At 43.2% G+C, this 13,846-nt stretch overlaps 1 protein-coding gene across 1 annotated transcript; it reads right to left on the reverse strand.

Moving 5' to 3' along the window:
* Positions 1-2,760: 2,760 nt before the first annotated feature.
* GPR119 (G protein-coupled receptor 119) lies at positions 2,761-8,986 on the reverse strand. Its single transcript, NM_178471.3, has 2 exons — positions 7,748-8,986; positions 2,761-5,863 (listed from the first exon to the last, which is right to left on the reverse strand). Exon 1 carries the CDS (start codon positions 8,757-8,759, stop codon positions 7,752-7,754), a length of 1,008 nt encoding a protein of 335 aa, NP_848566.1. The 5' UTR covers positions 8,760-8,986; the 3' UTR covers positions 2,761-5,863; positions 7,748-7,751.

Raw genomic sequence — 13,846 nt, forward strand, 5'->3', positions numbered from 1 at the left:
ACACTGGATTAAGATTATTTTCCTGGAGACCTGTGACTGCAAATACATCATTTCCCCTTTCTCCACTTTCTCCCGCTTCTCCCTCTTCCGTTTGTTGGCCTTTCTTCTCTGTGACCTCCTTCATCACTGCTCCACCCCCTTCTTCCTCCAGTCTGAGGACAGTTCACTAGGGGTAGCACAACAGTGTTCAAAAAGAGGGTCTTGCAGTCAGAGATGGCACACCAGAACAACATGAACTTGTTCCTGTTGTATGTAAGACCATTTGTTGAAGAATGTGGAATTATTGATACAGATGCCACTAGTTTGAAATTTAGTAATTTGGACATGGGGCTAGGCTTTCCACCCTTTCTCCTCCAATGGAAAGAAGAACTTTGTTACACTTATAAACAAATTTATAGGAGGAAGGATTACTATGAACCTGATTATAAATTAAATCTCTATTCACCAAAGCATGTCACTTAAGGGGTAATATTTTTATTAGCCTAATCTAGTCAGGATATTGCATGTAGGTTAATAAAATTGCTGGGTATTAAAAAATAAATATCTTCATGTCTTCTCAAAATGGCCATTTCTCTCTCTCTCTTTCTCTCTCTCTCTCTCTCTATATATATATATGTATATATATATATACATATATATATACATATATATATATATATATATATTTTTTTTTTTTTTTTTTGAGATGGAGTCTCCTTCTGTCGCCCAGGCTGGAGTGCAGTGGTGCAATCTTGGCTCACTGCACCCTCCGCCTCCCGGGTTCAAGTGATTCTCCTGTCTCACTCAGCCTCTCAAGTAGCTGGGATTACAGGCATGTGCCACCACACTTGGCTAATTTTTGTATTTTTAGTAGAGACGGGGTTTCACTATGTTGGCCAGGCTGGTCTCAAACTCCTGACCTCAGGTGATCCACCCACCTCACCCTCCAAAAGTGCTGGGATTACAGGCGTGAGCCACCACACCCGGCCAATAATTTTTATTTCTGAGGTTTCACTATTAAAGGATATTTCTTCTCTCCATTCAGTGTCTCAGCATCAGAATTCAGTTGTATTTTGGGCTGTGCTTTACTTACCATAAACACTTCATGCATCCTTGTCTCTTCCATTTATTTTGTAAATAAGAAAAACCATTTAACACTTTCATTGTATAAGATTACTAAGGGACCTAGCAATATTAAAGTGGTGGTTGGAATTTTGAATAAGAAATGTTTGGATTATGAGTCTGTTTTTCACATTTGAAATAATCTCAGAGCCATTCAGCTACAATTTCTTAGTTTAGTTTTCTCACCTTTTTTTTTTAACTACTTCTGAGATGATATGATACCCATTTGCTTTTCTATAGGAAATGCTTTCATATTTGTTGAATGGCTCAATGGACACATCTGCAAAAATACTAAGGAGGGGTTGGTGGGTAAAAGCACATTGAACAGTTTTGTTATACAGCATGGCATTTTACTGGGCCTGTGAGTGTGTTATCTCAGCAAGCTTATCAGCTTTTTAGTGCCTTAATGTCAACACAATTGAGACAGAACTGGAACTGATATGGATGTATCATGGTAAATGGGAACTGTGATTCAATCGTGGGATTGTTGGGCAACATACACCAAATAAAAACAAACCTAAGCAGATGAAGAGAGCCCCTCAGGCTCTTGGCCCTACGGAGTTTTAGTTTCCCCAGTGCTTGGTAGCAACTGAATCCCGTCTGCCCCATTGTGTACAAGGCGTTTTGAAAGAAACAGGAACTGCTTTGTGCATTAAAACAGACTCATAGGCTCTTAGCAGCTGCATCAGTCGTTTCTAGGACTCCTCATGAGAGGGCTCTTTGAGCCCAGTGGCTGATTATGGTCCCAACAGCTTGTAAATGCAGGGAACATATGGCTGAGTAGTAGCATGTTAAGCTCTCATGCACTTTACCCTGCCATGGTTGATCCATTAGGTGAAGCATATCTTGCCCTTTCAGCAAACTGCAAGACTATGGCTTCAAGGCTTCATTCAGCAGATTCAAGAACGGTTTCCTAGCTCTGCGTGAAGATGTTTTCTTATTCTCATGTCTACTCAGCATTTTATGGAGCAACTATGTCCGAAAATTTTAAGAGCCAAAACACTGAAATTGATATCTGGATATCACACTGCACTGTATTGATGGAGTTGTACTCTGTGAGAGGCATTCTTAAACTACTATGTTCTGTTAGTTCAGATTTCTGAATTTGCAGAAGGCAGATGAACCCTGGCAGTAGGCCATATCAAAAAGTTTCCTTTTGCAAAAAAAAAAAAAAAAAAAAAAAAAAAAAAGCAACTGGTTAACTTCCTCAGTATGATTTATTCTTTCAGGAAGCTGTGTGCTTTTATCTCTTTGGGATGTTCCTATCAGTGTGGTCTGTTCATTTATGGCTCACTTATGACTTCTCTTAGCAGGTGTCTCAGGGAAATATTACACTTCAAGAAATGCTAGCACAAATGTGAATCAAAATTCTTGGCCCGGTGCAGTGGCTCATGCCTGTAATCCCAGCACTTTGGAAGGCCGAGGTGGGCGGATCACGAGGTCAGGAGTTCAAGACCGTCTGGCCAATATGGTGAAACACCATCTCTACTAAAAAATACAAAAAATTAGCTGGGTGTGGTGGTGTGCGCCTGTAGTCACAGCTACACAGGAGGCTGAGGCAGGAGAATCGCTTGAACCCGAGAGGCGGAGGTTGCAGTGAGCCGAGATCGTGCCACTGCACTGCAGCCTGGGCAACAAAGTGAGACTCCATCTAAAAACAAATACTTATAAATATTTAATGCTCCTTGATCTAGTAATACTGCTTGGTGAATTTATCCTAAGGAATGGGACAGAGACATGCCAATGATTTATACACAGGGATATTTATCATGCTATTATAACAGAAATTAGAAATAACCTAAGTTTTAGCACAGCTATAGGGAAATAGTTAAAGTATTATACCATTTGTTGAAAAAGCATGCAACCATTACAAGTTGTGTTTTTGAAAAAGACGACATAGGAAAATATACACAATATAATGTTAAGTGAAAAAAACAGATGAAGGAGAATAACAGTGGTCATCTCTGGATAGTATAATTATGGGTACTTTGTGATTTCCTATGTTTGCAAAATTTTTTTAATGAACAAAAGTTGTTTTTATAATCGTAAAAGAAATAGTAAACATCATTTATATATCAATCTATACCCCTAGAAGATATCCCAGCAAAGCTGGGGCAATTTTAGCACATAGCTCTCAATGTTTGTGAGATAGGTAAGTGGACAGACGGATGAATGAATGACGATTGGCATTTGTAGGCACCATCATTGAATTTATAAGATTGCAGAAATAACAAGTGAAGATTTTTTAATTAAAAGGAGAAAATTCCAGACCTGTCAGCAGTTTGAAGGATGACGTGGAAAATACTGAAGGAGCCACAGAATTGAGTGGCTGACAGTAGCTGAGGAGTTGTGGTCTGTCATTGGGTCCATTGCTATTCTTGTTTTTGCTGATTCTATGTGTGTCCTTAAGTATCTTGTGCCTGCTGTTTTCACTGGTCTCTATTCAGTTTGGCCAGTGACTGAGCATGGTGGGAATGAAATCAAGGTCATGAGTTCAATTCCCATTTGAACCAGTTAACACTTCTCCTTCTAGGGAGAAGATATCCCAAGGCTATCTCTGGCTGACACTGGACATATGGACAAGCAGGAGTGTGTTGGTCAGGGTAACCTGCCTCTAACACTTGTGAAACCACTTAAAACACCTCTGTACAGAGGCCTACAGTGTCCTTATGTTCTTTGAGAATAGTCCTCTGAAATTGAGGTGTTGATATGTATAACCTTTCCTACCTAAGGAATTAATATAAAACTTAGTCATGTTACAATTTTAATTACAAATTCAGCCTGGTGCAGTGGCTTCCTCCTGTAATCACAGCACATTGAAAGGCTGAGGTGGGAGCATCACTCAAGACTATCATGAACAACATAGGGAGACCCTGTCTCTACAAAATATAAATAAATTAGCTGGGCATGGTGGCATGTGCCTGTGGTCCCAGTTACTCAGGAAGCTGAGGTGGGAAGATTGCTTGAGTCTGGGAAGTTGAAGCTACAGTGAGCTATGATCGCACCACTGCACTCCAGCCTGGGTGATGAGCGAGACCCTGTCTCTTAAAACAAAAACACCACAAATTCACAGTAAGCTGTTCATGGAAATAATAAATGGGACTGATTGGCCTACATTGCATCCTACAAGGTATTAATATCTGGGATGTTTTGATCACCTTGCTGAACTGAATCTGGTTTCTTGGTAAGCCTATCAGGAAACAACATCAGATGTATGAATGAAATCTAAACGTTTCCGGTACATTCCCTTATCTGTGAAGGAGCTTGCATCAAAGAAAGCCATTAGACTTTTGTGTAGCATCCTGTAGCTCTGCTCTTGGTGGCTTATTAAACACAGTGTTGTTGCTGTTTTTTTTTTTGTTTGTTTGTTTGTTTTTTTGAGACGGAGTCTCACTCTGTTGCCCAGGCTGGAGTGCAGTGGCGCGACCTTGGCTCACTGCAACCTCTGCCGCCCAGGTTCAAGCGATTTTCCTGCCTTAGCCTCTTGAGTAGCTGGGATTACAGGCGCCTGCCATCGTGCCCAGCTAATTTTTGTATTTTTAGTAGAGACAGCTTTTCACCATATTGGTCAGGCTGGTCTTGAACCCCTGACCTCGTGATCCACCTGCCTCAGCCTCCCAACATGCTGGGATTACAGGCGTGAGCCACCATGCCTGGCCAAACACAGTGTTTTTAATTGTGATTACTCTTAAATCCAATTACCATACTAGTGCCAGTGCCTTGTTTGTATCCGCTCTGTCTTGATACTGCTAAGGTATTAGATTTATTGTTTGTCTTTTTCAACCTGAATCACCTCTCATCACTCATTTTTAAAAATCTTATTCAGAGGTTGAGGAATTTACAGTTCTGAGTCCAATTGTCCTTGTCCTATATGTCATAATATCTGAATATGAGGGACTCCCTTAAATGGGTCAACTGACTGTTTAGTCCAGGGTGTTTAAAGAAGAGGAAGAGAACTGACATTTTTGAGCACTAACAATGTGCTGTAGTTTACTAGATATTTACATATACATTATCTGAGTTAATCTTCAATATAACCATGTAAAGTAGGCATTATTACCCCGGTTTGATGAATGCGAGATCTAGTTTGAGAATTTAAATGACTGAATTATCATTTGAACACTGGTCTGTTGGATTTCAAGACCTGTGATTTTTCCATTGCACATACTGACTCCCAGGGGTAGCAGAGTTTCTTAGATTGAACCTAATAACACACTGATCACCTGGCCTCTCCTCCCCTCCTGCTTTTCTGTACTTAAAAATATATATATTTTTTATTTTTAATTGACAAATAATTGTATATATTACGTGGGGTACAATGTGATGTTGATATATGTTTAAAATGTGGAATGATTAAATCAGGCTAATTTACTTTTTTTTTTCTAAAAGGACCTTGGCTTCAGAATTAACTTTAATTTTCATTCCACTTTGCTTATATTATCTTGGCAAGATCAGTCCTTTGTAGCAAGGCCAGGATTTAAGCTTTGAACCACCAGTAAGGAGGGCATTGGTTTGAGCCTGCTTTCAATTTTGTCCAAAATCCAGTTATTCGTATTTTACCTAGTTCCCAGTAACTCACAATACAATCCAAGAATGTGCCTTATTGCTGGCCTGGTACTTGCTGGATGCTCAGCATTTCAAGGCATATTGGGTTCCATCGTCCACTTGAGAGTCAAAAAGTTCTTCAGTTGTAGGAACACGATGCTTGCTATGGTGAAAGCAAGCATGTTTCTCCTCTGGGCCAGACTGGTAAGCAAAGCGACTGCAAAAAATTTACCAAAAGTGGGTTGATGTGTATGTAGTAGAATAGATCAATGAGAAACAGCCATTTGGGCTGAAGAAGATATAGGGTGAAGGTAGGGAGAAGGAAATTTTCTCAAGAGTAGGGAAACTGAAAAGGATGATCATTATCCTCTGAATGACTGAGGAAAGTAAGCTGGGAGTTAATCTAAGACTAAGGGGAATTAAGAAAATCCGAGTGCAAAGCATAGTGGTGTGGTGACATCCTTTGAAAGGAGGGTGGCTGGATTCCATCCAGGTCTAAACATTATAATTTGTGATTAGAATGAAAAATTTCAAGGGCCTCTTGGAATTAGCCATTACACGTTGGATTCAAATGCATCCTCAGGTCATTAATTTAGGGATATTGAGGGATTAACCAACCTAAGGTTGGTACCTAATTTGGTACCTAATTCAGTACCAAATCCTAGGCAAGTTAATCCATACTGTTTTGGTTTCTTCTTGCCCTCTTTTGTTGTCAACTTGGCAGCTTTCTGGGGCAATATTACAGTTTAAGGTCTTGAGAGCCAAACTCTCTAGCAATCCACTGTGGAGACCAGGAGGTTTTGGAGAGGGTTACAGGGAAACTCAGAAAGGCAGAGAGTGGTTCCTGAGTGTCTTCGCTATTCTGTTCTTGGTTTTTTGCTGCCAGGTTGCCCAGAGGGAAACTGAGCATAGTTCCCATCTGCCAACCTTGTCATTTTCTGTACCCCACGGAAAGGAGGATGAGGCACCTGCTCCTCAGCTGGTCTCCTGTGCAACAGTTTCTTAGGAAAATGCAAAATTGGGAGTAAGTGGAAGGAGCCCTGAGGAGCAAAGTGGCTCCAGTCTGGAGAGCTTGGCTGTGCCTGCCTTGGTACCCACATGTTTTCTCTCTCTTCCCTCCCAGTGCCTCAGAATTTGTGATCCAGCATTGTCATCAGCAAGTAGCCACAAGTGACATATGAGGCCATCTTAAGGGAAGGGGCAGCAGAGAGTTAAAAGGTGGTGGATTGGGACCGGTAACAGCAGAAATAATCACAAGATAGTGTTTCTTTGGGAAATAACCTATTTTAAACATCATGAGGTGTGCGAAAAGACAAGCTTTAGAGGAATTGAGGTTTCTACCTTTTAGGCACATTCACCATATAAGATCTCTGATTAATATCAGTAAGGGCAGGAGGAGGAGGGACTCCTCACCTTGCCAAAGCAATTACTGTAGTAAGTCACTATAGTAAACACTTAAAAATAACAGAACCTCATTTCTCTAGTGTTGTTCAGTATGGGAGCCACTAGCCACATGTGGCTACTGAGCATTTGAAATATGGCTAGTTTAAATTGAGATGTTTTGTAAGGGCAAAATACACACCAGATCTCAAGGACTTAGTATGAAAAAAAAACCAGTATAATTTTTATATTGATGACATGTTGAAAACAATATATTGGTTACGTTGGGATAAATAAAATATTAGTTTTGCCTGTTTCTTTTTACCTTTATAAAACGGTTACTGGAACATGTAAAATTATGCGTGTGGCTCACATTATATTTCTGTTGGACAGTGCTGCTCTGGTATACTCAAAAATAGAATTTGATCTATAAGCATCTTTTTAGCAGTACATTTCTTGCTTTAAGTAAGTGTACCTGTACACCAGAGACAGGCTCATTTCAAAAGAAGGACAGGGAGGAGTGGCGATTTGAAAATGGGGAAACTGATTATAGAAGAAAGTCAGGACTCTGCCTCAGTTACCTGTCAGTCTGGGGGTGGGGGATGCTGGGACAGGGGTCAATTGCCTGAAGCAAGTGCTCTCATCCCCCTAGCTCCTGCTGATCTAGTTGGGGCTCCAGAGTGGGGAGGAGAAAGGCACTTTGAAACTTCTCTGCCCTTACCGTCTTAGCCATCAAACTCTGAGCTGGAGATAGTGACGATGTGACAGGAACTTTCCCTGGGCCTCTCTGGGCCACAATTCCTGGCCGAGAGAAAGAGGAGGAATGAGGTGAGCACCTTCTTCACTCCTAGGGCCATGTGGTAGAGCTGCAGTCGCACCTCCTTCTGCCAATAGGCATAGATGAGTGGGTTGAGCAGGGAGTTGCCCACGCCGAGCAGCCACAGGTACCGTTCCAGCACTAGGTAGAGGTGACACTCCTGGCAGGCCACCTGCACAATGCCAGTGATAAGGAAGGGGGTCCAGGATAGAGCAAAGCTCCCAATGAGAACAGACACAGTACGGAGAGCTTTGAAGTCGCTGGGAGTCCGTGGGGATCGATAACCTCCAGCCATGGCTCCTGCATGTTCCATCTTTCGAATCTGCTGGCTGTGCATGGAGGCAATCTTGAGCATGTCGCAGTAGAAGAAGACAAAGAGGAGCATGGCTGGGAAGAAGCCAACGCAGGAGAGGGTCAGCACGAAGTGAGGGTGAAATACAGCAAAGAAGCTGCACTGCCCTTTGTAGGCAGTCTGCTGGAACATGGGGATTCCGAGTGGGAGGAAGCCAATGAGGTAAGACACTAACCACAGCCCGGCAATGCAGGCCCCGGCCACGAACCCACTCATGATCTTCAAGTAGCGGAAGGGCTGCTTGATGGCAAGGTACCTGTCAAAGGTGATCAGCATGACCGTGAGGACAGAGGCAGCTGCGGAGGAAGTGACAAATGCCATCCGCAGGCTGCACAGGGTCTTCTGTGTGGGCCGAGAAGGGCTGGAGAGCTGGTCTGTGAGTAGGCCAGAGATGGCCACACCAATCAAGGTGTCAGCCACAGCCAGATTCAAGGTGAAGCAGAGACTGACACCATCATTCTTGTGGATCAACAGCAGCACAGCCACAGCCACTAGTGTGTTAGTAGCAATGATGAGGGAGGCCAGGACAGCAAGGATCACTCCAAATGAGAAAGATGATTCCATGTCTCGAAGTGGCAGGACTTCACTTACCAGGGCATGCTATCTCTCCAGCTGAAATTCTCATGGGCCAGGGGCAGAGGAGCTGTGGGTTCAGAGCTACAGCACGATTCTGGCCTTCGCTGGCAGTCCAGGCTGGCAGGTCGCCATCTTTGGGATCCTACAGGTCATGAAGAATTACTCACCCTCTCTTTTCAGTCCTCAGCCTCCTGCCTCTCCAGCTCTCTAAAGGCAGCAACTTCAGTATAGACCTCCCCCTGGGCCCTGAGCTAGTCCCTCCCCCTCCAACCAGCAAGTTACTAGACAACTCCCAAGTACCTGTACATGCTGTCTCGCCAGGCCCTCTCCCTTCACTGGTGCTTCAGGGACTCTGGAGGGACAGGGACATTCATCAGGTCTCCTGTCTGTCAAAAGATATAATTGACTCCAATCATACTTTTTTCTTCCTCCATACCTTGACATTAAATTTCTACTTTTCTTCCAAAACCTCGAGTACCAGCTTAAATAATTAATCTCAGCTTAATTAAGCTTTTTCTTACTAATTCTCAATTACTATTATGAATTGCTTTTAATCAAGCAAGATGCTCATAATCAGTTGAAGTGGGAAGTGAGGGAAGGTGAGCTTTTTGAGGGGCCCCAGCATATTTTCAGGAGTGCTACCACACATTTAAGCTGTTTCTTACCTTTTGCTTCCTAGCGCCTCAAATTCTAATTCTCTCAAGTAGGGCGTGCTGTTCCCCCGTTTCTCATCCCTAGGATCTCAGTTGAGGATTCAGGACAGGAAAAACAGGGCCAAAAACTGTTAACAGCTGTCATTCAGTTTAGAACCCATTCTCCACCTCACGCTGCTGTCTCTCAAGTATACTAATTGATAATTATTTCTGCAGCATGTTGGGCCAGGTCTGGTCAGTGAGTAGTGGCTGCTGGGCTTGCCTTTCTTAATCCTATAGACCTGAGGTATCTCTGCGGGAGGAGAAGAGGAGATGAGCTGCATTCTGGGAAGTGTCTGCTTGATGTTTGGCTATGGAATTTTCCATTTTCCAGGAATAGGAACGTGGGGGCGGTTGAGGGGGGGAGGTTAGACCAAAGGGCAACTGTGTTGCTGAAGCAGGTGAGATGCACTCTGGAGGGGCAGCTGCATAAGTCACTCCTGTTTTAGGATGTGTATCCATTTGCTTGGGTACATTAGAACTACCCTTTCGCCTGCCACTCTCATCTTGGATACCAAGAAGAGAGGGGTGGGGAGAAGAGTGGTTAGAAGCTTATTTACTCAGTTCAGGTGAGAGCACAAATGGGAAAGGTTAGTGTTTGAAGTGAGGGAATAGAGAGCAAGGTGCAGAGTTGGACGCAAATATATTCCAGGATGTTTTGACAGTCTGAGAGGGCCTTTGGCAGATGTCTCTCCTAAAAAAGGATCAGAAAGACTGTGTTGTGGGGATTCAGTATTCTAGTTGCCATCCTGAAAACAGTTCTTATTCTTTGGTATGTCCATTAGGAGATTGATTCCAGTTGCTTAGAACCTAGCCTAATTTTATACCTGGACCTAAGGTGTGCTTGGGTTTCCCCAGCTCTTGACTCCACGGAGTCAAGTTAGCCCTTTTCAAACCCATGTTCAAACTTGAGAGTGTATCAGAATCACCTGGAGGGTGTCTTAAAACCCAGGTTCTTGGGTCCTACTCCCAGAGTTTCAGGTCATTGGTGAGTCTGAGAATCTGCATTTCTTTCTTTCTTTTCTTTTTTATTTTTATTTTTATTTTTTTTTTTTTTTGAGAAGGAGTTTCGCTCTTGTCGCCCAGGCTGGAGTGCAATGGTGTGATCTCAGCTCACTGCAACCTCCACCTCCCAGGTTCAAGCAATTCTCCTGCCTCAGCCTCCTGAGTAGCTGGGATTACAGGTGTGCAGCCACCACGCCCAGCTAATTTTGTATTTTTAGTAGGGACGGAGTTTCACCGTGTTGGCCAAGCCGGTCTCGAACTCCTGGCCTCAGGTGACCCACCTGTCTGGGCCTCCCAAAGTGTTGGGATTACAGGCGTGAGCCACCGTGCCTGGCCAGAATCTGCATTTCGAACAAGTTCCCAGATACTGCTGTTACTTGCTCAGGGACCACACTTTGAGAAGCACTGCTCTAGTGCAATGGTTCTTACCCTTAGCAGTGCATTGGAATCACCTGGTGATTCCAAAAAATACTGCTGTTTGGGCCACACACCAAGAGATTCTAACATAATTATTCTGGGTGGTAACTGTGCAATGGGAGTTTTAAAAGTTCCTTGGGTGATTCTAATATTCAGCCAGGGTTGAGAACCACTGTCCTTGGTTTCCTCATGTGTAACATGGGGACAGTCATAGTTATATCACAAGGTTGTGAGGATGATAAAACGAGGTATGATATGGGCAAAGACTTCATGATTAAAACACCAAAAGCAATGGCAACAAAAGCCAAAATTGACAAATGGGATCTAATTAAAGCGCTTCTGCACAGTAAAAGAAACTATCATCAGAGTGAACAGGCAACCTACAAAATGGGAGAAAATTATTACAATCTATTCATCTGACAAAGGGCTAATATCCAGAATCTACAAGGAACTTCAACAAATTTACAAGAAAAAAACAACCCCATCAAAAAGTGGGTGAAGGACATGAACAGACACTTCTCAAAAGAAGACATTTATGCAGCCAACAAACATATGAAAAAATGCTCATCATCACTGGTCATTAGAGAAATGCAAATCAAAACCACAATGAGATACCATCTCATGCCAGTTAGAATGGCAATCATTAAAAAGTCAGGAAACAACAGATGCTGGAGAGGATGTGGAGAAATAGGAATGCTTTTACACTGTTGGTGGGAGTGTAAATTAATTCTGCCATTGTGGAAGACAGTGTGGTGATTCCTCAAGGATCTAGAACCAGAAATACCATTTGAGCCAGCAATCCCATTACTGGGTATATACCCAAGGGATTATAAATCATTCTACTATAAAAACACATGCACACATATGTTTATTGCAGCACTATTCACAATAGCAAAGACTTGGAACCAACCCAAATGCCCATCAATGATAGACTGGATAAAGAAAATGTGGCACATATACATCATGGAATACTATGCAGCCATAAAAAAGAATGAGTTCATGCCCTTTGCAGGGACTTGGATGAAGTTGGAAACTATCATTCTCAGCAAACTAACATAGGAACAGAAAACCAAACACCACATGTTCTCACTCATAAGTGGGAGCTGAAAAATGATAAGAACATATGGGCACAGGGAGGGGAACATCACACACCAGGGGCCTGTTGGGCGGGTGGGGGGCAAGGGAAGGGATAGCATTAGGAGAAATGCCTAATGTAGATGACAGATTGATGGGTGCAGCAAATCACCATGGCACATGTATACCTATGTAACAAACGTGCACGTTCTGCACATGTATTCCAGAACTTAAAGTATAATAAAAATAAATAAAAATAAATTTTTAAAAATGAGGTATGATAGTTATGAAAAGGCTTCATAAAGTGTAAAATGTTACATGGGTATCCAGTGTCTTCTAGTCTCTGCTAATCAAATTAACACACTGTTAATCAAAGTGTGTATCAGAAGCATTGTTATGACCTGAGAGCTTGTTAGAAATGCAGAAGCTCGGCCAGGCACACTGGCTTACGCCTGTAATCCCAGCACTTTGGGAGGCTGAGGCGGGCAGATCACTTGAGGTCAGGAGTTCAAGACCAGCCTGGCCAACATGGCGAAACCCAGTCTCTACTAAAAATATGAAAATGAGCTGGGCGTGGTGATGGGTGTCTGTAATCCCAGCTACTCGGGAGGCTGACGCAGGAGAATTGCTTGAACCTGGGAGGTGGAGGTTGCGGTGAGCCAAGATTGCGCCACTGCACTCCAGCCTGGGTGATAGAGTGATACTATGTCTCAAAAAAAAAAAAAAAAAAAAGAAAGAAAGAAAGAAGAAATGCAGAATCTCAGGCCTTACTCAAGACCTAGTGATGCAGTCTGCAGTTTAACAAGATCTCCAGGTGATCTGCATGCACATTTATCTTTGCCTCTCTCCTACTCTCAGGTGTCTAGCTGTATTAGTTTTCTTTTGCTGCTGTAATGAACTACCACAAACTGACTTAACACGAATGTAGTATCTTACAATTATCAAGGTCAGAAGTCCAAAGTGGGTCTTACAGGGCTGAAGTCAAGGTGTTAGCTGAGCTGTGTTCCTTCGGGAGGCTCTAGGGAAGAGTCCATTTCCTCAACTTTTTCAGCTCTCAGAGGCTGCTTGCACTCCTAGGCTCCTGGACACATCACTCCATGGTCACGTCTTCTTCTCTGACCTTCCTGTTTCCCTTTTTTTTTTTTTGGGACAAAGTCTCACTCTGTCGCCCAGACTGGAGTGCAGTGGCGCCATCTTGGCTCATCACAACCTCCGCCTCCCGGGTTCAAGCGATTCTCCTGCCTCAGCCTCCTGAGTAGCTGGGATTAGAGGCATGTGCCACCACGCCCAGCTAATTTTTTTGTATTTTTAGTAGAGACGGGGTTTCACCATGTTGGTCAGGCTGGTCTCGAACTCCTGACCTCGTGATCCGCCCGCCGTGGCCTCCCAAAGCGCTGGGATTACAGACATGAGCCACCACACCCGGCCCCCTGTTTCCCTTTTTAAAGGACCCTTGTGATGACATTGGGTCCACCTGGACAATCCAGGATAACTCCTCCATTTCAGGATCCTTAACTTAATCACATCTGCAAGTATCTTTTGCCATGTGAAGTCACATATTCACAGGTTCCTAAGATTAAGACACGAACATCTGTGTTGAGGGACATTTTTCTACCTACCACGCTGGTATTCTCTGCTGCATGGATCTCTTCCCCCCCAAACCCCCCTTCAACAGTCTGCCATTGGAACCAGGCTACTGGGAGAGGAACTCTAGGAAGGTAGCCAGGATAAGCCAGGCCTAATTTCTCATGGTGCCTCGATCAGCCATGTGCCTGTGATGATTTAGCTGCATCTTGCCTAAGGACAAAGGTGTAGCGACATTTAATAAATACCTCTTCCTGAATGACTAGACTGGTACATATATTACTATAAAATATTATGCAGCAG

This window comes from Homo sapiens, chromosome X (assembly GCF_000001405.40).
Source record: "Homo sapiens chromosome X, GRCh38.p14 Primary Assembly".
Lineage (NCBI taxonomy): Eukaryota > Metazoa > Chordata > Mammalia > Primates > Hominidae > Homo > Homo sapiens.